This window comes from Homo sapiens, chromosome 16 (assembly GCF_000001405.40).
Source record: "Homo sapiens chromosome 16, GRCh38.p14 Primary Assembly".
Lineage (NCBI taxonomy): Eukaryota > Metazoa > Chordata > Mammalia > Primates > Hominidae > Homo > Homo sapiens.
In genome coordinates, this window is record NC_000016.10 from 46,686,570 (window position 1) to 46,711,320 (window position 24,751).

At 42.6% G+C, this 24,751-nt stretch overlaps 3 protein-coding genes across 7 annotated transcripts in view, besides 7 other annotated features; 1 reads left to right on the top strand and 2 right to left on the bottom strand.

Annotated features, from left to right (window-relative positions):
• VPS35 (VPS35 retromer complex component) overlaps positions 1-2,609 on the bottom strand; it is a 33,047-nt gene extending 30,438 nt beyond the window's left edge. The window contains exon 1 of one of the 2 annotated variants that reach the window (NM_018206.6): positions 2,562-2,609. In NM_018206.6, the coding sequence (NP_060676.2) occupies positions 2,562-2,564 (3 nt within the window). In that variant the 5' untranslated portion in view covers positions 2,565-2,609. Of the gene's footprint in view, positions 1-1,744 lie in introns of both variants that reach the window. The other variant, XM_011523227.4, reaches the window with a different exon arrangement.
• Positions 2,080-2,777: an enhancer, noted in NCBI's record as "H3K27ac hESC enhancer chr16:46722561-46723258 (GRCh37/hg19 assembly coordinates)". NCBI's record gives its function as "activates a minimal SCP1, AML or CMV promoter by ChIP-STARR-seq in primed H9 embryonic stem cells {active_cell/tissue: H9 hESC(primed)}" and the evidence as "EXISTENCE:reporter gene assay evidence [ECO:0000049][PMID:30033119]".
• Positions 2,314-2,363: a silencer, noted in NCBI's record as "silent region_7431". NCBI's record gives its function as "represses an Ori minimal core promoter by ATAC-STARR-seq in GM12878 lymphoblastoid cells {active_cell/tissue: GM12878}" and the evidence as "EXISTENCE:reporter gene assay evidence [ECO:0000049][PMID:35858748]".
• Positions 2,514-2,753: a silencer, noted in NCBI's record as "silent region_7432". NCBI's record gives its function as "represses an Ori minimal core promoter by ATAC-STARR-seq in GM12878 lymphoblastoid cells {active_cell/tissue: GM12878}" and the evidence as "EXISTENCE:reporter gene assay evidence [ECO:0000049][PMID:35858748]".
• Positions 2,778-3,476: an enhancer, noted in NCBI's record as "H3K27ac hESC enhancer chr16:46723259-46723957 (GRCh37/hg19 assembly coordinates)". NCBI's record gives its function as "activates a minimal SCP1, AML or CMV promoter by ChIP-STARR-seq in primed H9 embryonic stem cells {active_cell/tissue: H9 hESC(primed)}" and the evidence as "EXISTENCE:reporter gene assay evidence [ECO:0000049][PMID:30033119]".
• Positions 3,074-3,373: a silencer, noted in NCBI's record as "silent region_7433". NCBI's record gives its function as "represses an Ori minimal core promoter by ATAC-STARR-seq in GM12878 lymphoblastoid cells {active_cell/tissue: GM12878}" and the evidence as "EXISTENCE:reporter gene assay evidence [ECO:0000049][PMID:35858748]".
• On the top strand, positions 3,090-11,825 carry ORC6 (origin recognition complex subunit 6). Of its 3 annotated transcripts, none has more exons than NR_037620.2 (7): positions 3,090-3,260; positions 4,422-4,551; positions 5,813-5,976; positions 6,524-6,613; positions 8,993-9,105; positions 9,448-9,516; positions 10,889-11,825. NR_037620.2 is itself a non-coding variant. In NM_014321.4 (7 exons), the coding sequence occupies exons 1-7, from the start codon at positions 3,137-3,139 to the stop codon at positions 11,014-11,016; spliced, it is 759 nt and encodes a 252-aa protein (NP_055136.1). In that variant the 5' UTR covers positions 3,090-3,136; the 3' UTR covers positions 11,017-11,825. The 3 variants fall into 3 exon arrangements, 2 of the variants coding, with proteins under 2 accessions (NP_055136.1, XP_011521280.1); NM_014321.4 differs by having other exon boundaries at positions 3,090-3,201; XM_011522978.4 differs by lacking the exons at positions 9,448-9,516; positions 10,889-11,825 and adding an exon at positions 8,370-8,515 and having other exon boundaries at positions 3,090-3,201; positions 8,993-9,068.
• Positions 3,714-3,793: an enhancer, noted in NCBI's record as "active region_10771". NCBI's record gives its function as "activates an Ori minimal core promoter by ATAC-STARR-seq in GM12878 lymphoblastoid cells {active_cell/tissue: GM12878}" and the evidence as "EXISTENCE:reporter gene assay evidence [ECO:0000049][PMID:35858748]".
• Positions 3,844-3,913: an enhancer, noted in NCBI's record as "active region_10772". NCBI's record gives its function as "activates an Ori minimal core promoter by ATAC-STARR-seq in GM12878 lymphoblastoid cells {active_cell/tissue: GM12878}" and the evidence as "EXISTENCE:reporter gene assay evidence [ECO:0000049][PMID:35858748]".
• MYLK3 (myosin light chain kinase 3) overlaps positions 15,713-24,751 on the bottom strand; it is a 60,965-nt gene continuing 51,926 nt past the window's right edge. For both annotated transcript variants that reach the window (NM_001308301.1, NM_182493.3), the window contains 3 exons: positions 24,068-24,220; positions 22,970-23,102; positions 15,713-21,194 (listed from right to left, as the gene is read on the bottom strand). In NM_001308301.1, the coding sequence (NP_001295230.1) occupies positions 21,135-21,194; positions 22,970-23,102; positions 24,068-24,220 (346 nt within the window). In that variant the 3' untranslated portion in view covers positions 15,713-21,134. The remainder of the gene's footprint in view (positions 21,195-22,969; positions 23,103-24,067; positions 24,221-24,751) is intronic.

Genomic DNA, 24,751 nt, shown 5'->3' on the forward strand with positions numbered 1-24,751 from the left:
GTAAAGCAATCTATTTTTATATATTACTCATAAAACAGTGTAGTTATGCTAGCAACAGCTATTATAAGGGCTATTCTTGATGCCTTACTATGAAGTGTCACATAGAGCCTTAACAGTTATAATATGAGCACGCTATCATTAAACACAAGCCAATTAACCAATGTTTCCTCAATCATGAAAGTGGTTTTCCATTTGTAAATGACCGTACTTCACAGCTACATGAATCAGAAGAAAATGGAAACCCTACAGAATGGGAATCAAATTAACATTTGTGATTAGTCCCATTTTAGCTTGAGACCCACAAACAGCCCTCTCAAGTCTACAGTTCTAATGTGCAGAGCAAAGCAAAGATCATGAACTGATCACTTGGAAAACTACTCTCCACTGAAACAATGTGCTTTTCTTTCCTCTTCTATGAAACAGAGATGAGAGTACACCACTGTTATGAAGAACAAATGAAACCAAAGCTCAAAACGTGCCTACTACTTAGCAATAAGCACTTAATAAGTGCTATAATTATTATTCAGTTTAGATACAAATAATTATCTCCACTTATGTTAGAAACCTATTGTGGTTCAACCTCCCTGCTTATATGCTGTAGATGTAATCTGACAGTACAATGTAAACCAAATGTAACGCTCATTTCTTCAAACAAAGGTACAGAATATCACGTTAATGAAAGAACTATTTTAAAAATGATGACATGGCATACATTGACAACTGAAGTAGAGAGAAATAAGGATGATGAGGGCATGACAACTTCAAAATATAATTTGAACACCAAACGGCTCTAACTTCATTTCCAATACATATCCCCAAGAATCCTCTGATGGAGCACACTGAACGTTTTGGCTTCATCTATTAGCAATACCTTTTCTTTCCACCTGGAGAATTTCTTTCCACCCTCTTTATAGTCTCAGTTCACGTTACTTCCTGTAGTCCTTCCCAAAATCCCCAGGCAAAACTATCCCTCCATGACCCCAAAGCACTGAGTTGACAATGTTAGTAAAGCAATCCACACACTGTATTACAGTTAAGTTCTACAAGCGTGTCTCCCCCAGTAGCCTCTTAAGTTCGACATTGGTACCCAGGGCCACAGTCCGTGACACTGAAGGCACACAAGATGTTTGATGAATTGAAGTGGATTCTGGAATTTTAGGGCTGGGAAGGGCCAAAGGGGCCGCCAACACTTGCTTTCGGATGCAAAAGTGCGACACCAAGAAGACTAAGCGAGCTGCCTAAATTATAGACAGTGACTGTGAAAGAACGAATACTCAAGTTTCCTTTCCCAATAAAATTCATGAGGACAAGACTGTGTGTCTGGCTGATTGCTCCCAACTGGTTCACCCAACAAAGAATCGGAGTGTGTAATACATCCTCAATTAAGTGTTTTCCATTACAAAACAATATAAATGTCAATCCATAAACGCTGGAAACACACAAATCCTAAAGTTAAATTTTGCGCCGGTCTTGTATCAATTCCCAATTATAAAAATCCTGAGAAACAGGCAAAATCACCTTGTACGGCAACACGTTATATGAAAATAGTATTTGTAAAACACTTAATCCTTTCTGGCATTAAGACATTTAAAGTGAAATCTGTTTCCAGGCTTACAGATTTACAGAAGCCTATCTACACAGAGTGAGTAAGGTAATTAAAGCGGACATACAGTATATACTCAAAAAATTTATTTACACAGTGCAGGCTATGTTAAACGCTAATAAAATGCAAGTGACAACTTGCCTTTGTGGGAACCAGACACAAAGATTCACATTTTGAGGAAGTTCAAGTTTACCGGCCAACAGCCACACCACGATTTGCTGCCGTCATAGACGGGCCCTAAGGAGAAGTACTGCTTCCAGCAAGTCAAATACTTGGATTTTATCAATGGCGAGACAAAAGAGGCAAGGTGCGCCCAATGCACAAATGCTAAAGTAAACAATCAGTCTCCTTTGCGACCGTCAGGATTAGAAGACAGCCTGAGTCCTTCCAGGAAATTCATGTAAGCAGGTCCCCAGAACTCGCTGACAAACACTGCAGCCGAAGGCGGGTATGAGGCCAAGAAAGGCCAAGGAATCACTGCGACCCCTCCAGGAGGGCGTGGGGACGGCCGAGCACAACTAGGCACAAAGGTAGAAACGCAACATCTGGGCGGGTCCCGGCGCCACCTCCGAGTCTCAGGGCCTCCACGCGCCCCGGGGGCCAGACGCTCAGACCTAGGACTACCGGTCCCCTCGTGGTAGGCAGGTGACCGATTCCACTTAAAGGAGGCCGCAGGCCTTCATGGACCCCAAAGCCTACATGCCAAGTCAACCCCACAGAGAGGCCGCCCCGTCTCTCAGCAACGGCCGCAGCCAAGAGCCGCCGCCCACCCCGGCCCGGATCAGCCTGCCCGCGGCCTTCCTCCTGCTGTCCCCTATCCCGCAGGCCAAATCGGGCTGGTCTTAATCCCGAACGGTCTGTGGGGCCCCTTCTCCACTCGCTGGAGTGCGGGGCGGTGGGAGAGAGCAGGGGCTACAAGGAGGGTCGACCCAGGTGCCACTGCCCCCTCAGCACTCACCATGGCGACTCCCCAGAGCCTGCAGCAAGCAGCACCCGCCCCGCGCGTAGCCTCCCGCGGTCATGTGACGCTGCGGCCCCTCCAAGCCCCGCCCTCTCTAGCCCCGCCCCCGGGCCCTACAGGCGGCTCATTGATTGGCCTACTTCTAGGAACCCGAGTCTCGCGTGCTTATTGGCCCTGTCACTTAACGCTAGATGGACGGACCTGAGCGCCAGCCAATCTCACCACAGCGTGCGAGAGTGGGCGGAGCAGTGCAGGGCAGTGGGGATCGCCCGGCGGCAGGCAGGAGACAACAGGAGGGAAAGGCAGTGTGTGATGAGTTTGTCAAGAAGGAATGGAAGGAGGGGGAGCCGACAAGTCCACGTTCACCGCATCTGCGTTGGCGATTGCGCTATTGATGCGCATGCGCAAAAGGAAGACCCTGATTGGTTTGTGGGACGGTCTCAACGTCCTGTCCTAACCAATCCAGATGCGCCGGGGGTGGGGCCTGGCTCTCACTGGCCGGTGCAGCCTTTGCGCGCGGGTTTCGTTGACCCGCGGCGTTCACGGGAATTGTTCGCTTTAGTGCCGGCGCCATGGGGTCGGAGCTGATCGGGCGCCTAGCCCCGCGCCTGGGCCTCGCCGAGCCCGACATGCTGAGGTGAGTTCGGCCGCGCAAGACCAGGGCTGGGCTTCCGCCTCGCGGCCCTGGGCCCTCAGGTGAGGCCCGCGCCCTTCCCAGGCGACGGGCGGCGGGGGAGTGACGGGGAGCGCTGGGGCCGGGCGGGGTTTAGGGCCTACTTCAAGAAAAACTTCTCGGCCGTGAGCTTGAATGAGATGGCAAGAAGGGCGATAGCAAACGGCGATGGCACACGTCCCTGGGAACAGCCAGCCCTGTCCGTGGGTAGAAAAATGAGCCAGGGAGAACTTTCCGTTCATTCCGCCAACGCCTACTGCAGTCGGGTTTATAGCGGGGAACCCGACAACGAGGCGCAGACCCCGCTGTCTGTAAGGGCGAGGACTGTGTAGACCTTAACCGGGCAATGCTCCTGAGCCACTGGGCTTGGGGTGGAGCGCGGCCTAGCGGCTGCCTTTAACACAAAGAAACAAACAAAACTCGGAAAAGCAGGCGCCGTTCCCGCTGAGGCCGGATTGATGGCAGATGCTAGGCGAGGAAAGATATGGCAAGAGCAGCCCAGGCAGGGGCGACAGCTCCTGTAAAAGCGTTGAGATGGGAAGCGGGATCCGGGGTTCGAAATAAAGCCATTGTAGCTAAAACGTGGAGCAGTCAGGCGAGGGAAGGCAAGGAAAACAGCACTTAAAAGATTTGAAGACAAACCTGCAGGACTCGGTAGTCATTTAGAACAGTGGTTCTCAAAATGTGGTTCCTGGACCAGCAACAGCCATATCATCTTGTCACTTGTTAGAAATACAAATTCTTGGGTCCCACCTCAAGCCTGCTGATCAGTAACTCGGCCTGGGACCCAGTAATTTGCAAGTCCCCAAGGTGATTTTCGCCTACCATCAAGTTTAAGAACTACTGATTTAAAGGAAATAGGAGGAAAGGAGGAACCCTGGTCTAACCTGCCTGTCTCTGATAGTTCGTGCTTGTTCCAGTAATGGAAGGAGGAAAGAAGGGTAATTTTTTTGTCAAAATTTAACTTCCTTTTGCCTGAAAGCATTTGAGCACAGTGATGTTTGGAGTCAGTGCTGGTTCTGTCTTCCTCTCACCAGAGGATATGACCTTCATTCCCAGCCCCAGATAAACGAGCCACAGGAGTTAGGCTTAGTGTGAAGCTAACCAGGCTGTATTCATTGTTTACCAACGTGTTGAGCAAACTTCTGAATAAGTTGTAGCGAACACACTGCCCTTTTAACCAGGAAAGCAGAGGAGTACTTGCGCCTGTCCCGGGTGAAGTGTGTCGGCCTCTCCGCACGCACCACGGAGACCAGCAGTGCAGTCATGTGCCTGGACCTTGCAGCTTCCTGGATGAAGTGCCCCTTGGACAGGGTAAGTAGGTCCCACCGAATGTCTGAATAATCCAGTGCAACATTGAAGCTCTTTTAACTTTTGGTTGAACTAAACCCTAGTAAAAACTCTTGTTTTAGAATTGTCCTGGGTATTCTTGTGTGTTATTCTGGAAATACTGTAGAATCATTTTGCATTGGAAAATATTTTTTTGCCATGTTTTCTTTACTCTTCACTGTTTTCCCTGACCACCTCTTTCTCGGCTAGAGGCCATCTTCCACATTGCTGCTAGCATTACCCTCCTTTTAAAGCACGTATTTCCAAACCCCTATGCTTTTCTTCCAATGTCACAGTGTTTGAGAGAACAAGCTTTGGGGTCAGTCAGGAGGAGTTTCATGTTGAGATCAAATCTCCACACTAGCTACCTCTGTTAGCCTCCAGTGTCCTCATCCATAAAGTGAAGATAAAATATCCAATTTCGCTGGATTATTATGAGGATTAAATGTACATAACACCATTAACACAGCACCTGTGTCATAACGATACACTCATTAAATGGTAATACTAAAAACAAAGCTTTGTTGATGACCATCAAACTCTCCAGCCTCTCTTGAATCCTGGCCTCAAGCTGCAGTATTCTCTTAACAGACTCTGCACGTCAATGATTTGTGGCTTTGAAAATGCAATACCTTGTTTTTTTCCTGCAATGCTCTTCTGGCAAACTCCTATTTGTCTTACATGACCTTGCCTTATTGTTACATTGAAACTTTCCTTAAGTCTCCCAGACAGAGCTGGTTTCCCACAGTGGATCCTCCTGTTTCTTTTCCTAGTTTCCTTTTCCTCTTTCTCTCCTGCACACACACACACACACACACACACACTCTCTCTCTCTCTCTCTCTCTCACCACCCCGCCCCCTACTCCACTCCCGCTACTTCTCTCCTTCCTTTTCCCAATAAATTACACGTTAGCACCTTTGTATAAACACAAGTAACCATCTGTGTGTTTCCTGTGGTTTTTTACTGCCTATTTTGACTATATTAATATTGTGTTATAATTTTAAATCATCTGTGCATATGCATGACTGCCTGCCTTTGCATAGTTTGAACTCTTTGAAAGCAGTACTTCCTCAGCCTGACATGATTACCAGTTTTTTGACTAAATGAAGCTAAACCTTTAGGTAGAGTGACTTGCCACAAAATTAATTTTGAAAAGTTATACTGCTTATTAAACAAGTGTTTAAGGGTACTAATATATAGAACTTAAGGTTTTTATGATTTGTGTATGTGTTTTTCCTTTCACAGGCTTATTTAATTAAACTTTCTGGTTTGAACAAGGAGACATATCAGAGCTGTCTTAAATCTTTTGAGTGTTTACTGGGCCTGAATTCAAATATTGGAATAAGAGACCTAGCTGTACAGTTTAGCTGTATAGAAGCAGTGAACATGGCTTCAAAGATACTAAAAAGGTATGGGGCATAGAGAACCTTAATTGAAAATGTATACCAATAGGCCGGGCGTGGTGGCTCACGCCTGTAATCCCAGCACTTTGGGAGGCCAAGTTGGGTGGATCATGTGGTCAGGAGTTCAAGACCAGCCTGGCCAACATGGTGAAACCCCATTTCTACTAAAAATACAAAAATTAGCTGGGCGAGGCGTCATGCACCTGTAATCCCAGCTACTCGGGAGGCTGTGGCAGGAGAATTGCTTGAACCCAGGAGGTGGAGGTTGCAGTAAGCCGAGATTGCACCACTGCACTCCAGCCTGGATGACAGAGCAAGACTCCGTCTTGGGGCGGGGCGGCGGTGGCGGTGGGGGGGACCAGAAAATTTATACTGATAGATACAAATTATCCATTGTCCTGTTCTGGTTAATTTTCAGTCTTAAAAAAAATGACTCGTGTTAAGTGACAGCACACATATCCATTTTAAAAGCTTGTAAGTTCTGGTTGATACTTTCAGTCTCTTTTCAAATAATATTTTCTAACAGATAATTCTGCAATAACTTCTCCTTTAGCTATGAGTCCAGTCTTCCCCAGACACAGCAAGTGGATCTTGACTTATCCAGGCCACTTTTCACTTCTGCTGCACTGCTTTCAGCATGCAAGTAGGTATTTCATTAAACATTCAGAAAAGTTACCAATTTACAAGTGGGTTTTTCATCCCCAAGGAATACTTCTAACTTAGTTGATATCAATTCAGAGCATATTTTCCCCTAGAAATAATATTAGGAATATTGGCCAAGTGACTATATTCCCAGTTTATCCCATAATGTAGCTAACAACTTGGAACTAGTGTTGCCAGAATTCCACTAGCAAATAGCAGCTGTATATATATGCTGGGAATTCTGATTTCAGTCTGCCTTTTGTAAGAGATGATATCTGTCATTAAAACAGTCTTCACATGTGATTTTTCTGCTCATATTTTTTAAAAAGTACTGGTTGGGCCAGGCGTGGTGGCTCCCGCCTGTAATCCCAACACTGGGAGGCAGAGGCAGGAGGACTGCTTGAGGCAAGGAGTTCAAGACTAGCCTAGACAGCATAATAAGACCCCAATCTCTTAAGAAAAAAAAAAAAAATTAGCTGGGTGTCAGCACATGCCTCCAGTCCTGGCTTCTCAGCTACTCGGGAGGCTGAAGCTGAAGGCTCACTGGAGCCTAGGAGTTCTTGGTTATAGTGAGCTATGGTCACGCTACTACACTGCAGCCTAGGCAACACAGCAACACTGTCTCTTTTTTTTTTTTTTTTTTTTTTACATTTTTTTTATTTTTATTTTTATTTTTTTTTTTTTAATTTATTTTTTTTTTGATAATTCTTGGGTGTTTCTCACAGAGGGGGATTTGGCAGGGTCATGGGACAATAGTGGAGGGAAGGTCAGCAGATAAACAAGTGAACAAAGGTCTCTGGTTTTCCTAGGCAGAGGACCCTGCGGCCTTCCGCAGTGTTTGTGTCCCTGATTACTTGAGATTAGGGATTGGTGATGACTCTTAACGAGCATGCTGCCTTCAAGCATCTGTTTAACAAAGCACATCTTGCACCGCCCTTAATCCATTTAACCCTGAGTGGACACAGCACATGTTTCAGAGAGCACAGGGTTGGGGGTAAGGTCACAGATCAACAGGATCCCAAGGCAGAAGAATTTTTCTTAGTGCAGAACAAAATGAAAAGTCTCCCATGTCTACTTCTTTCTACACAGACACGGCAACCATCCGATTTCTCAATCTTTTCCCCACCTTTCCCGCCTTTCTATTCCACAAAGCTGCCATTGTCATCCTGGCCCGTTCTCAATGAGCTGTCGGGCATACCTCCCAGACGGGGTGGTGGCCGGGCAGAGGGGCTCCTCACTTCCCAGTAGGGGCGGCCGGGCAGAGGCGCCCCTCACCTCCCGGACGGGGCGGCTGGCCGGGCGGGGGGGCTGACCCCCCCCACCTCCTTCCTGGACGGGGCGGCTGGCCGGGCGGGGGGCTGACCCCCCCACCTCCCTCCCGGACGGGGCAGCTGGCCGGGCAGAGGGGCTCCTCACTTCCCAGTAGGGGCGGCCGGGGCGGCTGGCCGGGCGGGGGGCTGACCCCCCCACAACACTGTCTCTTAAAAAAAAAACAAAACACTGGCTACAACTGTTCTTCAAGGAATTTATAACATTTTAGTGATAAATTATCACATCTGAATCTTACAATTGTGGGTTATCTATGTGTATGCTGAAATGTTACCTTGGAAATATTAGTAATTGTTGATAATCTTTGTCTAAAGTTATCTTATTTTTATCTTGCCAGAAAACTCCTTAGAAAACAAAATGTAGTTGGCCCTTAAAGAATGGATTTCTCACTACCTACCCACTAATTTTGGTATGCTTGGCTCTATTAGGTACATACCTAGGAGTATTAATTGGCATTTATGGAAAACATCTCTTCAATTCAACAAAAGTATGTGCATATACGGAGGGAGTGCAGCTGATATTGTAGAAAACAGTGAGAATAGTCAACTCTACTTTTGAAACCATATTACGCTGAGTAAGAAAAGGTCTTGACAGGTCTATTCTGAAGAAAAAGTTTATTTTGTGTTTGTAATTAGTGGTTGCTGTGGAGTCTTATTAGGAAAGTTTATTTTCAGGGTGGGGTGGGGTTGTTACATTCCTGTAATATAAATATCCTGTGAGTTAAAATGAGTGGAACAAAAAAGTCCTATGATTGTCATTCATTAAATTAATCTGAGATTTACTAAAGAGTTCTAAAAGTCATGAAGCACTACAGCAAATGTCTTTTATGTGCCCCTTTTGTTATAAAATAGATCCCATGTGCATTTTAACTCTCAGTCCAATAAACAACTAAACAACTTAGCATAGATAATAACATGTTTGGAATGAAGGAAAAAAACTAGACAGAGGCTCTGGAAGCATGGTCAAAAAGAAAATAAGTTGATTATCTGGTTGCCCAGAGAAGAAAACTGTACAGGTCTTGAGAAAAGCAACTTATGAAATTGTTTTGTAGGATTCTAAAGCTGAAAGTGGATAAAAACAAAATGGTAGCCACATCCGGTGTAAAAAAAGCTATATTTGATCGACTGTGTAAACAACTAGAGAAGATTGGACAGCAGGTCGACAGTAAGTATTCTGTAGTTCAAGAATGCGTCATTTGAAAATGTAGTCCTTTTGCTTGTAAAAGTCAAATATTTTCAAATATGTAAACTGGCTGCTTCCTAAATTCCGTATTACATGTGGACCAGGTATGTTTTTATTGATGTTTCTAACCTATGATTCCATGAATCTATGCCTGGAAAATGATTCTCAAGTCTGACAAGAGGCCCAAAAGAGAGGTCTAAGATCATTTCTCTTCTCCTCATATTTGATCAGTTAAGATGTCTAATTTTATTTGTGATCCAAAACATGCCCAAATACTGAAATTGAGAACAGGAGAAAAATTAACCTTGATAACACTTCTTAAAGGAGAACCTGGAGATGTAGCTACTCCACCACGGAAGAGAAAGAAGATAGTGGTTGAAGCCCCAGCAAAGGGTAAGTTTTACTAACACGGTACTGACGTTGACATTTTATGCAGTGAACAGCCCAGTGCTGCTCTAGCAGCTTGCCTGACAGGAGTCCAGTTTTAAGTACATTCTGACTGTGAATCATTTGATAAGACCAGTTTTCCAAGCAATCAGTAATGGAAGTAACATCGTTATTGGGTAATTAAGAATATGGCTGGTCTGGCACAGTGGCTTATTCCTGTAATCCCAGCACTTTGGGAGGCTGAGGCGGGAGGATTGCTTGAGCCCATGAGTGCGAGACCAGCCTGGGCAGCTACAGCTAGGTATTTGTCTTAAACCTGGGCATGGTCTGATGGGAAGTCCCTAGTTGTATAACAAGTCAGCTGGTTGGCTGTTTGTGATTGGCTGGGGATTATTTTTGTCTTTCGGAGGTTCTTTTCCCCCGACAAAAGAAATGTTTCCAAGTTAGGTTCCAGTTTGCTTATAAGAGCTTTAGCTACAAAGACAATCTCAGGCAAATGGCTGCATTATTGTTTTAATACCACCTACTGGCTATGTGATTTTTTGGTTTTTTTGTTTGTTTGTTTGATTTTGGTTTTTTGGTTTCTCTTTTTCTGAGACATGGCCTGGTTCTCTCACCCATGCTAGAGTGCAGTGGCACGGTCTCGGCTCACTGCAGCCTCCGCCTCCTGAGCTCAAACCATCCTCCCACCTCAGCCTCCCGAGTAGCTGGGACTACAGGCATGTGCTACCACACCTGGCTAATTTTTGTATTTTTGATAGAGATGGGACCTCACTATGTTACCCAGGCTGGTCTTGAACTCCTGGGCTCAAGTGACCCGCCCCCTTCACCTCCCAAAGTGCTGGGATTACAGGCATGAGCCACTATGCCCAACCACTGGCTATGGGATTCTAAGAAAGTATAATTTCTGTGAGCCTCAATTTCCTGACCTATAAAATGTGATTAATATTATCACCTATTACGGAGTGTAGTAGGGGTTAAATGAAATAATGCTATTTAAAGTACTTGGTTCAGTGCCTATCAAGCACCAGTTAAGTGCTTGATAGACGTTAGCTATTATTAGATGTCTTGGAATGCTTGGAGTGTAAGGGAGGGAAAAAAGTGATAGCTAAGCTAGGTGTGATAGTGTGAGCCTATAGTCCCAGCCACGGTCCCAGCTACTCAAGAGGTGGAGGTGGGAGGATCATTTGAACCTAGGAATTTGAGTGCAGCCTGAGCAACATTACAAGACCCCATCTCAAAAAAAAGTGATAACTGCTGTTTCTCCATGTCATTTCAGTATCTTTTCTATTTTAGACAATTTAAACAAGTTTACCTTTTTTTAAATTTCATTTCTAAGCTAAGAATTTTGAAATTGCTTTTGATAATTTTCTGTCAGAAATGGAGAAGGTAGAGGAGATGCCACATAAACCACAGAAAGATGAAGATCTGACACAGGATTATGAAGAATGGAAAAGAAAAATTTTGGAAAATGCTGCCAGTGCTCAAAAGGCTACAGCAGAGTGATTTCAGCTTCCAAACTGGTATACATTCCAAACTGATAGTACATTGCCATCTCCAGGAAGACTTGACGGCTTTGGGATTTTGTTTAAACTTTTATAATAAGGATCCTAAGACTGTTGCCTTTAAATAGCAAAGCAGCCTACCTGGAGGCTAAGTCTGGGCAGTGGGCTGGCCCCTGGTGTGAGCATTAGACCAGCCACAGTGCCTGATTGGTATAGCCTTATGTGCTTTCCTACAAAATGGAATTGGAGGCCGGGCGCAGTGGCTCACGCCTGTAATCCCAGCACTTTGGGAGGCCAAGGTGGGTGGATCACCTGAGGTCAGGAGCTCGAGACCAGCCTGGCCAACATGGTGAAACCCCATCTCTACTAAAAATACAAAAATTAGCCAGGTGTGATGGTGCATGCCTGTAATCCCAGCTCCTCAGTAGGCTGAGACAGGAGCATCACTTGAACGTGGGAGGCAGAGGTTGCAGTGAGCCGAGATTGCACCACCGCACTCCAGCCTGGGTGACAGAGCGAGACTTATCTCATAAATAAATAGATAGATACTCCAGCCTGGGTGACAGAGCGAGACTTATAGATAGATAGATAGATAGATGGATAGATAGATAGATAGATAGATAGATAGATAAACGGAATTGGAGCCATTTTGCTTTAAGTGAATGGCAGTCCCTTGTCTTATTCAGAATATAAAATTCAGTCTGAATGGCATCTTACAGATTTTACTTCAATTTTTGTGTACGGTATTTTTTATTTGACTAAATCAATATATTGTACAGCCTAAGTTAATAAATGTTATTTATATATGCATTCAAGTTGTACTTGTCATCAGTTTGGGGGAATCCTTATGCTAAAAGCTATGTCTTCTCTACAGGAAAAAGCCCAGGTTCCTGTCCACTGAGCCACACTGCCCACCAGACCACAAACTCAAATCAGACTTTAAAACCCTGCTCAGCCACTTATCACCTGTGAAACCTTTAGCAAATTAATTAACTTTTTTATGCCTCATCTATAAAGTAGGAGTAGAAATGGTACCACCTCGTAGATAATATGGAGGAGTTTCTGAGCCAATACATATAAAGCATTTAGGACAGTACCTGCTATGAGTAAGTATTTAGAAAATATTAGAAGAGAGAAAGAATCTCACATATGGAGGTCTCATAATGAATTAAACATTACCACCTTTTTATAAAATCAAGCTTTTTTTTTAGTATCTACATATTGAAAAGTGTAAACTTAGTAAATACTACTTATTTTAAGACTATGGAAAAGGACCTTTTCTTGGATGGTAAGAAGTTGCTAAAGGCATCATGCCAGACATGATTTTAACTAAAATTAAGAATATATGATATAATTAAATATTTCCATGATAAAAGGATTGCATCCAAATGTTTAAAATCTACTTAGAATGACATCAGTAATAATAATGGTTGCCTTTTATCTGCTACAGGTAATGAATAATACCTGCTACATAGATCTAGAATGACTAAAGGTGATGTCTCTTTTTTCCCCCTACCTTTTTAGTTTTAGAACTTTAGCAGACTAAGGCTAAAGAAATACCACAATCAAATGGTCCCAACATAAGCATGTCTGGCAAGGCCTGTGGTATTGGGGAATGAACATGAGCTTTGGAGCCACACACACTTGGGTTTAAATTCTGGCTCTGCCACTTCTCCCCTAACAAAAGCCCAAAATCTTACTGAGCCTAAGTTTTCCTATTTATAAAATAGAAAAGATGGGCACAGTGGTGTGCACCTACAGTCACAGCTATTCAGGAGCCAAGGCAGGAGGATCACTTGAGCCAAAGAGTTTAAGTCTGTAGTATGCTATGATCACACCTGTGAATAGCCATTGTACTCCAGCCTGGGCAATACAGGGAGACCCCATCTCTTAAAAAAATAATAATAACAGTAGCTAAAATAGAAATACCTGCCTTGTGAGGTTTAAAGGTACTATTGTATTTGTGAAGTGCACGGCATTTAGAAGGCATTCATTAAATAGCTCTTGTTATGGCTTTGATCCAAAATTGATAAATCTTCCTCATTTATTAAGAAGGTATGTAATTTGAGACCCAGCACAATGGCTCAGGCCTGTAGTCCTAGCACTTTGGGAGGCTGAGGCAGGCAGATTGCCTGAGCTCAGGAGTTCGAGACCAGCCTGGGCAATATGGCAAAACCCTGTCTCTACTAAAAATACAAAAAATTAGCCAGGCATGATGGCAGGCGCCTGTAGTCCTAGCTACGCAGGAGGCTGAGGCACGAGAATTGCTGGAACCCAGAAGGTGGAGGTTGCCGTGAGCCGAGATCATGCCACAGCACTCCAGCCTGGGCGACAGACGAGACTATCTCAAAAAAATAGAAGCTATGTAATTTGTTATTTGGTGCCAAGATACAGATTTCTAGCTTTGAGTCAAAAGCAATGTACTTATCACCCTGTAAAGTTAAGCACATTCACCTACTTTAAAATTGTAGTAAAATATATGTAACAAAATACGCTATCTTAATCTTTTTAAAGTGTTTATGGTTAAGTATTATGTAGTCACTTTGTTTTGCAACCAATCTCCAGAATTTTTTCATCTTGCAAAACTGACTTAACCATTAAACAACTCCCCATTCCTCCCCACATCCCCTGACAACCACCATTGTACTCACTCTCTCTGAATTTGACTAAGGATTCATATAAGTGGAATCACAGTATTTGTGACTGGCTTTTTTCACTTAGTATAATGTTCTCAAGATTGTCCATGTTGTAACGTGTCAGAAGTTACTTTTTAAAGCTGAATATTCAGTTGTATATACCACATTTTGTTCATCCATCAGTGTGACACGGGTTGAGTAATGCTGCTATGAACATGTGTGTACAAATACCTCTTGAGGACCCTGCTTTCAATTCTTTTGGGTATACACCCAGAAATGGGATTGCTAGATCATATGGTAATTCTATTGATTGACTGATTGAGATGGAGTCTCACTCTGTCGCCCAGGCTGGAGTGCAGTGGCGTGATCTCAGCCCACTGCAAACTCTGCCTCCCAGGTTCAAGCAGTTCTCCTGCCTCAGCCTCCCAAGTAGATGGGATTACAGGTGCCCACCACCACGCCTGGCTAATTTTTGTAGTTTACTTAGTAGAGACAGGGTTTTGCCATGTTGGCCAGGCTGGTCTCAAACTCACCTCAGGTGATCCACCCTCCTCAGCCTTCCAAAGTGTTGGGATTACAGGCGTGAGCCACCACACCCAGCCTCTACTTTTAAATTTTTGAGGAACTGCCATAGAGGGTATACCATATTACATTCCACCCACAGTTCATAAGGATTCCAATTTCTCTACATCTTTGCCAACACTAGTTATTTTCTAGTTTTTTTTTTTTTAATAGTAGCCATCCTAATGGATGTGAGGTGTTAATGTCATTATGGTTTTAATTTGCTTTTCCCTAATGATGAGGGGAAAGATGTTGGGCATCTCTTCATGGACTTGAATAGACATTTTTTAAAGAAAATATACAAACAGCGAATATGCCCCTTTTTGAATCAGGTTGTTTGGTTTTTGTTGTTGAGTTGTAGGAGCTCTTTATATATTCTAGATATTCACCCTTATCAGATATGATAGGTAAATATTTTCTCCCATTCCTTAGGTTGCCTTTTCACTCTGTTGATTATGGCCTTTGATGCACAGAAGCTTTTAATTTTGATATAGTCCAATTTATGTTTACTTCTGTGGTCTGTACTCTTGCTATCATATCCAAGAAATCATTGCCAAATCCAATGTCATGAAGCTTTTCCCTTGTTTTCTTCTAAGAGTTAAATGGTTTAAGCTCTTACATTTAGGTCTTTAATCCATTTTGAGTTAATCAGGCACATTCACTTTTAAATTACCCTGTTAAGATGTGATTCTGATAAATCTAAAATTTCTGAGCCTTGTTTAAATAGCATATGAGAATAAATATAAGTAGTATTGTCTGTTTTTTCTTTATGCCATGAAAGCAAGTAATGGTAATTATTTTTATTATTTGCAATATAATATGTACTTAGTTATTTTTTAAATTAGTTGGGGAGTGGAGGAATTACCTTAAAGCAGTCTTGTCCAAATGCCCTCCTAGGAAGCCTTTCTACAGTTTTCTAACACAATTACAATCCCAGTGATGAATGCCGTGATGGTTAATACTGAGTGTCAACTTGATTGGATTGAAGGATACAAAGTTTGATCCTGGGTGTGTTTGTGAGGGTGCTGCCAAAAGAGATTAACATATGAGTCTGGGCTGGGAAATATCCACCCTTATTCTGGTGGACACAATCTAATCAGCTGCCAGCAAATATAAAGCAGGCAGTAAAATGTGAAAAGGAGACACTGGCCTAGCCTCCCAGCCTACATCTTTGTCCTGTGCTGGATGCTTCCTGCCTTCGAACGTCGGACTTCAGGTTCTTCAGTTTTGGAACTCGGACTCGCTCTCCTTGCTCTTCAGCTTGCAGACAGCCTATTGTGGGACCTTGTGATCATGTAAGTTAATACTTAATAAACTCCCCTTTATATACATATATATACACATATTACATATATATACATATTACCTATATACATATTACATATATCTATATATATCCTATTCTGTCCATCTAGAGAACCCTGACTAATACAGATGCTTACTAGTTAGTGAATTCGTGTGTTTCAGTACTGTTATTATAAACACTTCTTGGAAGCTCACTTCTTTAACCGTTCTTCATGGTTTATTTAACTGATTAAAAAGTTTTTTTGTCATGAATGTTTTCAAATACATACAACAGTAAAGAGGACAGTATAATGAAACCCATACACATCACCTAGACCCAAGTTATTAGATGTTGCCATACTTGCTTAACTATACCTTCCTTTTTCTCTGAAGTCATCTAACCACATTGCCAATATCACACCTCACAAAATTAATAGTAACTATCATCAAATGTGAAATTCATAATCTAAATGTCTCAAAAATATCTTTTTATTGCTTGCTCAAATCAGGGTCAACACAAGGTTCACACTTGACATTGAGTTGTGAATTTTTAATTATAAATGTAATACATGCGGGCCAGGCGCAGTGGCTCACACCTGTAATCCCAGCACTTTGGGAGGCCGAGGTGGGCAGATCACGAGGTCAAGAGATCGAGACCATCCTGGCCAGCATGGTGAAAGCCCATCTCTACTAAAAACACAAAAATTAGCTGGGCGTGGTGGCGCATGCCTGTAGTCCCAGCTACTTGGGAGGCTGAGGCAGGAGAAATCACTTGAACTCGGGAGGTGGATGTTGCAGTAAGCCAAGATTGCGCCACTGCACTCCAGCCTGGCAACAGAGTGAGACTCCATCTTGGAAAGAAAAAAAAAAAAAGGAATACATGCTCATTGTAAAAAAAAAAAAAAAAAAGATTCAAAAGGTTCAGAAAGATAAATGAAAAGTGGAATTCCCCCTCTCCCAATCACCCACTTTTCACACTCCACTGTTAAGTTTCTTGCATATCCTACGGTTTTTTAATGCACATATAAGCATATGTCTCTTCACAAATGGGATGATACCATATATACATTCTATAATTTAAGAAAAAATGGCTTTCAGTATATCTAGATCTATCTATAACAGCTGTGAGGTATTCCACTACATGGATGTGGCAAAATTCATTTAACTAAAACCAAACTAATAGGCATGTGTTGGTTGTTTTTACTGGGCCATTAGCAACAGTGCTATAGTAAACATCATTTTGAATAAATCTCTATACAATTGTTCAAGTACGGAGGGATAAATTTCTAGAAATAAAATTTCTGGATGAAAGAAAGCATGGGAATGACTTTTATTTGGATACATATCCATCAAAAGTGGGAGAATGCCATTTTCCCCACAGCCTCACCAATTCTTCACCAATCTGACAGGTGGAAAAAGTGTGCCCCAACTACCTTTTAGAGTTTCTCTGCCCAGCAGTTTCCAGTGACTGTACATGCAAATGGAAAAGTCCCATTAGAAATAGTTGACCCAACACAGTTGCAATCAAGTATTTGAGCTAAGTACACACCAGCAAATTACTAAAAATATCCAGAAAAACTCAAGCTTCATAAAACCTCAAATTTCAAAAAAAGGATGCTAAAATCCACATAGGTCACTTGTGTTGGCCTGGCCTAAACAGACCCCTCAAAGGAACTTTGGAGGGAAATTGTTTCTCTAGGTAAGGAATAACAGCATAAAGGGAAAAAAATTAAAATTGTTAGATACAGGATTCTCTCTAGATCTGCCCTGTCCAATATAGATGCCACTAACCACGTGTGGCTATTAAACACTTAAAATGTGGCTAGTGCAACTGCAGAACTGAATTTCTAATTTTATTTAATTTTAATACATGTAAAAGTGGATACTTCAGTTATTGGAAAACAGTGAGTTATGTTTCAAACAACTTGAGTATGTAAATACATTTTCCACAGTAAGTTTTAAGAAATCTAAATACAGATTAAGTACGTCTGATGAAAACCTAGCATCTGAATTGACAGGTTTTTTTTTGTTTTGTTTGTTTGTTTGTTTTTTGTCAGGGGTGGGGACAAAGTTTTGCTCTGCCACCCAGGCTGGAGTGCAGTGGTGTGATCTCAGCTCACTGCAACCCCTGCCTCCTGTTTAAGTGATTCTTGTGCCTTAGCCTCCCAAGTAGCTGGGATTACAGGTATGCGCCACCACGCCCAGCTAATTTTTATATTTTTAGAGATGGGGTTTTACCATGTTGGCCAGCAATCTGCCCACCTTGGCCTCCCAAAGTGCTGGGATTACAGATGTGAGCCACCATGCCTAGCCTTGACATGTGTTTTTAAGTGTAAAATATACCAGATTTTTGAGACTTAGTATGAGAAAAAGAATATAAAATATCTCTTTTTTTTTGAGACGGAGTTTTGCTCTTGTTGCCCAGGCTGGAGTTCAATGGTGTGATCTTGGCTCACTGCAACCTCCACCCCCTGGGTTCAAGTGATTCTCTGGCCTCAGCCTCCCTAGTAGCTGGTAAAGTATCTCAATTTTATGTTGATTACATATTGAAATATTTTTGATACACTAAGTTATATAAATTATTAAAATTGGCTTTCAATGGGTTTTGTTAGAGAAGCTACTAGAAATGTTTTAATTATGTGTATAGCCTGTACTATATTTTTGTTGGGCAGTGCTGCTCTAGATATGGTAATTAACTGTCTTTTTCTGGGGAGATGTTTCATAGCATTCTCCAGAATCTTAAGTCGAAAACAGGGTATGAACCACAATAGAACTATAAAATATACTCTCTAGCTCCTTCTGGAGGCTGCCCTCAAAAAACCTTTTAAAGAAAGATAACTGACATTTAAAAAATAAGACATTTTACCAAATCACTATCACTGTCTCATCAAAGGACAACTTTCAGCAGCTGTGTCTTCTGATGTTCATTCTTCAGCTGACCAACTTGGAGCAGGCCTAGACTTGCTGGTATTGAAACTGTTAGTTCCCAACAAGGGTTAGCCTTCCAGAGGAAACTTAACAACTTGAGAACTGCAGCAGCAGGATAACCTCTCCACCTGCCTACCTCTCTGTCAAAAAGCAAGAGCCTCTGTTACAGGACAAAAATCCTGAAAGGTAGTGAAACTGTTGCATGTCTAATTAAAATCTAAAATTCACAACATTGACTAAAGCTGCTCACCTGAGGCCAAGCACAGTGGCTCATGCCTATATTCCCAGCTCTTTGGGAGGCCAAGACAGGTGGATCATCTGAGGTCAGGAGTTCGAGACCAGCCTGGCCAACATGGCAAAACCCCATCTCTACCAAAAATACAAAAATTAGCTGGGCGTGGCAGCACACGCCTGTAATCCCAGCTACCTGGGAGGCTGAGGCACAAGATCACTTGAACCCGGGAGGCAGAGGTTGCAGTGAGCCAAGAACACACCAGTGCACTCCAGCCTGGGTGACAGAGGAAGACTCTCTCAAAAAAAATAAAAAACTAAAGCTGCTCACCTGAGGAAAAAAATGGGAATAGCACAAAAATCATGTAGAAGTAAGGAAATTTTAAAGATTGTATATTTTTTCATAATAAAGTACTCCTTTAACCATTTTACAAGTTGGTAAAGTATCTAAATATACATGTATACAAGTTCGTAAATGTGTTAGTTGAAGCTGGGTGTGGTGGCTCACACCTATAATCCCAGCACTTTGGGAGGCTGGGGCAGGTGGATCGCTTGAGCTCAAGACCAGGTTGGGCAACATGGCAAAACCCTATCTCCACTAAAAATACAAAAATTAGCTGGGTGTAGTAGCGGGCACCTATGGTCCCAGGTACTCATGATCGCCTGAGCCCAGGAGGCGGAGGCTACAGTGAGCCAAGATCACACCACTGCACTGCAGCCTGGGCAACAGAGTGAGACCCTGTCTCAAAAAAAAAAAAAAGTGTTAGTTGCTTGCCATGTTGAGAACAGTATGATTTCAGTGAAGGGATGACAGGGCTACTCTAATGCATATAGAAAAGTGTTTAAATGTACAGTGGACCCTTGAACAATGTGAGGGTTAGGAGTGCCTACCCCCTTGCAGTAGAAAATCTGAGTATAACTTTTGTCTCCCCAAAAACTTAACTACTAATAGCCTAATGTTGACTGGAAGCCCTATCAATAATATAAACAGTCAGTTAATACCCATACACACATATGTGTTCGTGTGTGTGTGTGTTTGTGTGTGTGTATATATACATATACTGTATTCTTTTTTTTTTTTTTTTTTGAGACGGAGTCTTGCTCTGTTGCCTAGGCTGGAGTGCAGTGGTGCAATCTTGGCTCACTGCAAACTCCACCTCCCAGGTTCAAGCAGTTCTCCTGCCTCAGCCTCCAGAGTAGCTGACATTACAGGCATCCGCCACCACGCCCCACTAATTTTTGTATTTTTAGTAGAGATGGGGTTTCACTGTGTTGGCCAGGCTGGTCTTGAACTCCTGACCTCAAGTGATCTGCCTGCCTCAGCCTCCCAAAGTGCTGGGATTATGGGCATGAGCCACCACACCCAGCTTATATACTGTATTCTTACAATAAAGTAAGCTAGAGAAAAGTTACTAAAATCATAAGGAGGAAAACATATGTTTACTATTCATTAAGTGAAAGTGGATCATCATAAAGGTGTTCATCTTCATCATCTTCCTGTTGAGTAGGCTGCAGAGTGGGATGAAGAGGAGAGCATGGTGTTGCTGTCTCAGGGGTGACAAAGGTGAAAGAAAATCCACATTTAAGTTGACTGCAATTCAAACCCTGTTCAAGGGTCAACTGTACATGTATATAGAAAGTGTATGTGTAGAGTGACAACATTGAGAGTGCTACAGCCTGAGGCAGCAGAAGAGCAGCTTTCCTTTATGTCTCAGGATGTATCATTTCTGTGTTTCTCAGAAAGCGGAACCTCATTACATTCTTATCTCTTTCATAAATTGCCTATCAGCTTCCAGACTTACAAGACCAGAAATTTATAACTAAGACAGAGGGGTTAAGACAGGCAGAATTAGGAGAGAGGTGGAGGTGTGTGGAGATTTAAAAAGCACAGTCAAAATGATCACTTCTTTGATTTGGCTATGAGAGTTGACATATTTTGACATTTCAAGTGATGCTGATTCTCAAAAGGGAGCATAAGTTAAAGCAAGTTTGAAGATCACTGTCCTAAATCCACATGGCTTAACACAAGAATGGGGTAGTACAATAAAATGTCAGCTCACACCTGAGCAAATCAAAATTCTAGGAATTCTTTGTACTGGAGGAGATAACACTGAATAACATGGCCCCTGCAAAGTAGTCTACTGAGTTCCTTAATCAGTGTGAGTTTAGAATTTAAATTCGACAGATGCAAAGTACCTACCTAAAGCATCCCTACACTTACCACCAAAAGTAGGTATATTTGAAAGGTACTCAGAGCATTTCACACGTAGTGATCTTACAAGGCAGAAAAAAACGTTCTTAGGAAGCTTCTTTACAGCCACTTTTCATCCACAAGGAAGGCAGCAGCCATAACCATTTTTACAAAATAAGTGGAATCAATAATACCAAAAAGCCAAATTATTTAAATGTTTGAGTCATCTCTTCACTTCACCACTGGCCTCAGTAATTTCTGGACCCATTGGAGCAGCAGAGTTGAAGATTAGGGAGAAGTTGGAAATTTCCTTAACCTGTTGGCAGCAGTCACCACATAGAAATGTTTCTTGAGGCAAGGAGAGAATAAAAGAAAAGAAAAAGCATGTATTTTAGACCAGTTGCCTTATGAAGAAACAATAAAAGGATTTAAGTGAGTCCAGCCACTGGGGTTGGTTTAAATCTGATACCTAAAGGGAAACAAGTTTCTAAAATAATTATAGAATAGTCACATGACTTTCAGGGGCATGTTGGGAGTAAATATGAAGTGGGAAGATACATCATCCTGCCCTCTTTTTTTTCTTTTTTTGGGGAGGGGGTAGGGGGGTCAGGATGGGGTCTGGCTCTGTTGTCCAGGCTGGAGTGCAGTGGCGTGATCTTGGCTCACTGCAACCTCTACCTCCTGGGCTCAAGCAATCCTCCCACCTCAGCCTCCCAAGTAGCTGGGACTACAGGCAACCACCACCACGACCAGCTAACTTTTGTCTTGTTTGTAAAGATACAGTCTCACTAGGTTACCCAGGTTTATCCTGCCCTTTTCACATGAAAAATGGAGCACCCTAGAACAGTGTCTTATTTTTATTTTTCATCAGCCTACATCATGCTTTGATAGAACAGTGTTTTTCAAATTGTGATTCACAACCGAGCAATGGGTCATGAAATCAAATTGGTGGGTTGTGAACAGCATTTAAAAAATAAAACCAAGTGGCACAGAATAGAAAATATCAGAATACATCATATTCTGTTAGAGAAAATGTTGTGATTTTTTTTTTAAACAGAGATGGGAGTCTCCCTCTGTCACCCAGGCTAGAGTACACTGGCGTGATCACGGCTCACTGCAGCCTCAAACTCCTGAACTCAAGTGATCCTCCCCATTCAGCCTCCCAAATAGCTGGAACTATAGGTGCAGGCCACCACGCCTGAGTCAAATTTTTGTTGTGTGTTTCCCGGTAAGTGTGTACATGTATAGGTATTCTTGTGTACTGGCTCCATACATAAAGGGTTTTGTTTGTGCTTTTGGATCCCCAGTGAGGATCTAAGTCCATATTAAATTGTTGGAAGCCACTTCCCTGGATCACAATTGCTTTTAAGATAGGTTTTATGTCCATGGGACTAAAGAATTCTGTTGTAAACAAAATTATAAAGTTTTAAAAGTTTAACAGGCCTTTCTTATCTCCCATTTCTGAAATGTGGAAGAATCAGGCCTCAAGCTCTAAGCAGTTAGTTCAGGAGCTTCACGATGATTGCCACTGAGAACATATGCTTAAGCTTCATTCTGTCACTTCAAGTGTCCATATAAGCACAAACCAAATGTAAGTTTTATGCCAGTTATTTTTGCTCTGTGACATTTTTAAATCAAGCTAGCAGCTTTTGACATGAGAGAGATTTTTCCCCCTAAATAATCTTTCTGTTTAGAATCAAAATGTAAGTAAAACCCTGGCTACAGGCTGGGTGCAGTGGCTCATGCCTGTAATGCCAGCAATTTGGGAGGCTGAGGCAGGAGGAGTGCTTGAAGCCAGGAGTTCAAGACCATCCTAGGCAACTTAACAAGACCCTGTCTGTGCAAAAAATATGAAAGTTAGCAAGGCATGGTGGTACATGCCTGTAGTCCCAACTACTTAGGAGGCTGAGGTGGGAGGATTGCTTGAACCCAGGAATTTAAGGTTACAGTGAACCATGATCATGCCACTATACTCCAGCCTGGGCAACAGAGCAAGACCCTGTCTATAAAAACAAACCCAAAAAGAAGAAAAAAAAAAAAAGAAAAGGAAACTTAGCTACAGTTTTTTCCAAGGACAGATTAGGATGACAAATTCCACCTTTACTAAGAGAAAAACCAAATACCTTCCATTTTCTTTGAGCTATGTATTTCTGCAGCAGTAGTTGGGATTTGAGACGAGTTTTGGATCTTGAAGCTTTGGCAGGCAAATTATTCAGCCACTCGTGTTTCAGGCACTGTGTGGCACTCATTCTGCAGCTGTGAAATCAAAGAGCAGTTAAGACTTTTAGTTGGAGTTGCCTTTTCTCATCCAAAAATCTGTTCACTTGAGTAGGAAGCCTGAGTCAGTGGAACAGATTAATCATTTAGGCAGATTCATGCCATGTACCAAAAAGGGAACTCCTTGTGTCTAAAATTCCCTTCCTTCAAAGTGCCAGAAGGTCGTCAGCAAAATGTTCTCTGACCTCTATAGGGGGAACATATTCCAGTGATTCTGGGAGGAACCACTTCCCAGAGGGGGCTGAGAAGTTGAGGCAGGGCAGTAGGAAGGCTAGCTATGCCTGGAATTGCTCTTAAAGAAGCAAAAGAACAGGAAATTTGAAGGAAGCTCATTTCTCCTTCCAGAGTATAAAGCCAACTTGTTCATCTGACTTAGAATTTTTTTTCCTCTCACATAACTTTTCACAGTCAGAAAGAAACAAAATTGTAAAAGTCAGGGAAATACAAGCTGTCTTAGAGCCCAGACTCCTGGGCCTTAGCCTTGGGTGGTTAATACCTTTGGTTATGTCCAGTTATTACCTTATTCTGAGTATCAAAAAACTCAAATGGCTTGACCCATGACTTTGATATAGACGCTGAAGCCTAAATAGATCTTCTTCACCAAGAAACAAGGTATTCAGATCTTTATTCTGGAAATAACATCTGCATATCTCAGTTCTTTTCTTCAACCTTAGCCTATGACAACTGATAACTTGCAGATAGGACCAATCTACATATGCTTCTTTCTAAAACTATATTTTATGCCCCTACTTGTTTGTTGTTTCATTGATTTCCTTTGTCCCTTTCTCTGTTCCCTTTATTTTTCCAAAGAAGTAGCAAACTAAGAAATCTTGAATGGAATTTGTCCACAGGAAGAAGGACCTTCACGGTCAGCAGTCCTGCCCAGCTCCCAGACCTGGGGTCCCCATCAGAAGGGCCCATGAGTGACAAGCAATGAAAGGTACCTCTTCTCTTTGACCAGCAACCGGGAAACAAAGTCCTTGGCCTCCTCCGAGAGCCCTTCAAAGGTGTCAGCATCAAAATCCCAGCTACAGTTTACAATGAAATTCATGGTCTCTGCATCTGTTTCCCCTAGAAATGGGGACAAGCCACTGAGTCTATAGAAGAGAGAAAGGACCATCAGTAGGTGGAGGCCACATTTGCCAACATGCATTGGCAGAATAGAGAAGCTTACAGAGTTCAAGTGGACCTAGCCAGAACCAAGAGGGTTCAAAATAAAAGCACCTCCACTACTTCTCCACAGGATGGAGTCCAGTGTGTTCATTAAAGGGAGGAAGCGGAAGGATTTAAAATTTGGAGGCAAGAAGAATTTTTGGAATAAGTCCCCTCTTGTGCTCACCTCTTTCCACCTCATTCCTGAAGTAAAGAGTAAAATTAGGGCCCAACTTGGTATGCCCAGTTATCAAGTACACATTGATTTAATTTTAGAAATAGAAATAGCCTTCCATGTCCTTGAGACAGCCAGGCTTATTTAGATGCTACCCAGGCCCCAAGCCAAAGGAAAATGGGCTTTATTAGGTTCCCGCCTGAGGGAGGATAGAGAATCAGGACACCCTGACGGCCAGCCTCAGGGATCTGAACTTCCCCAGCCTGGCGCAGCTCCCATATCTGAGTGCAGGGACAGTGCG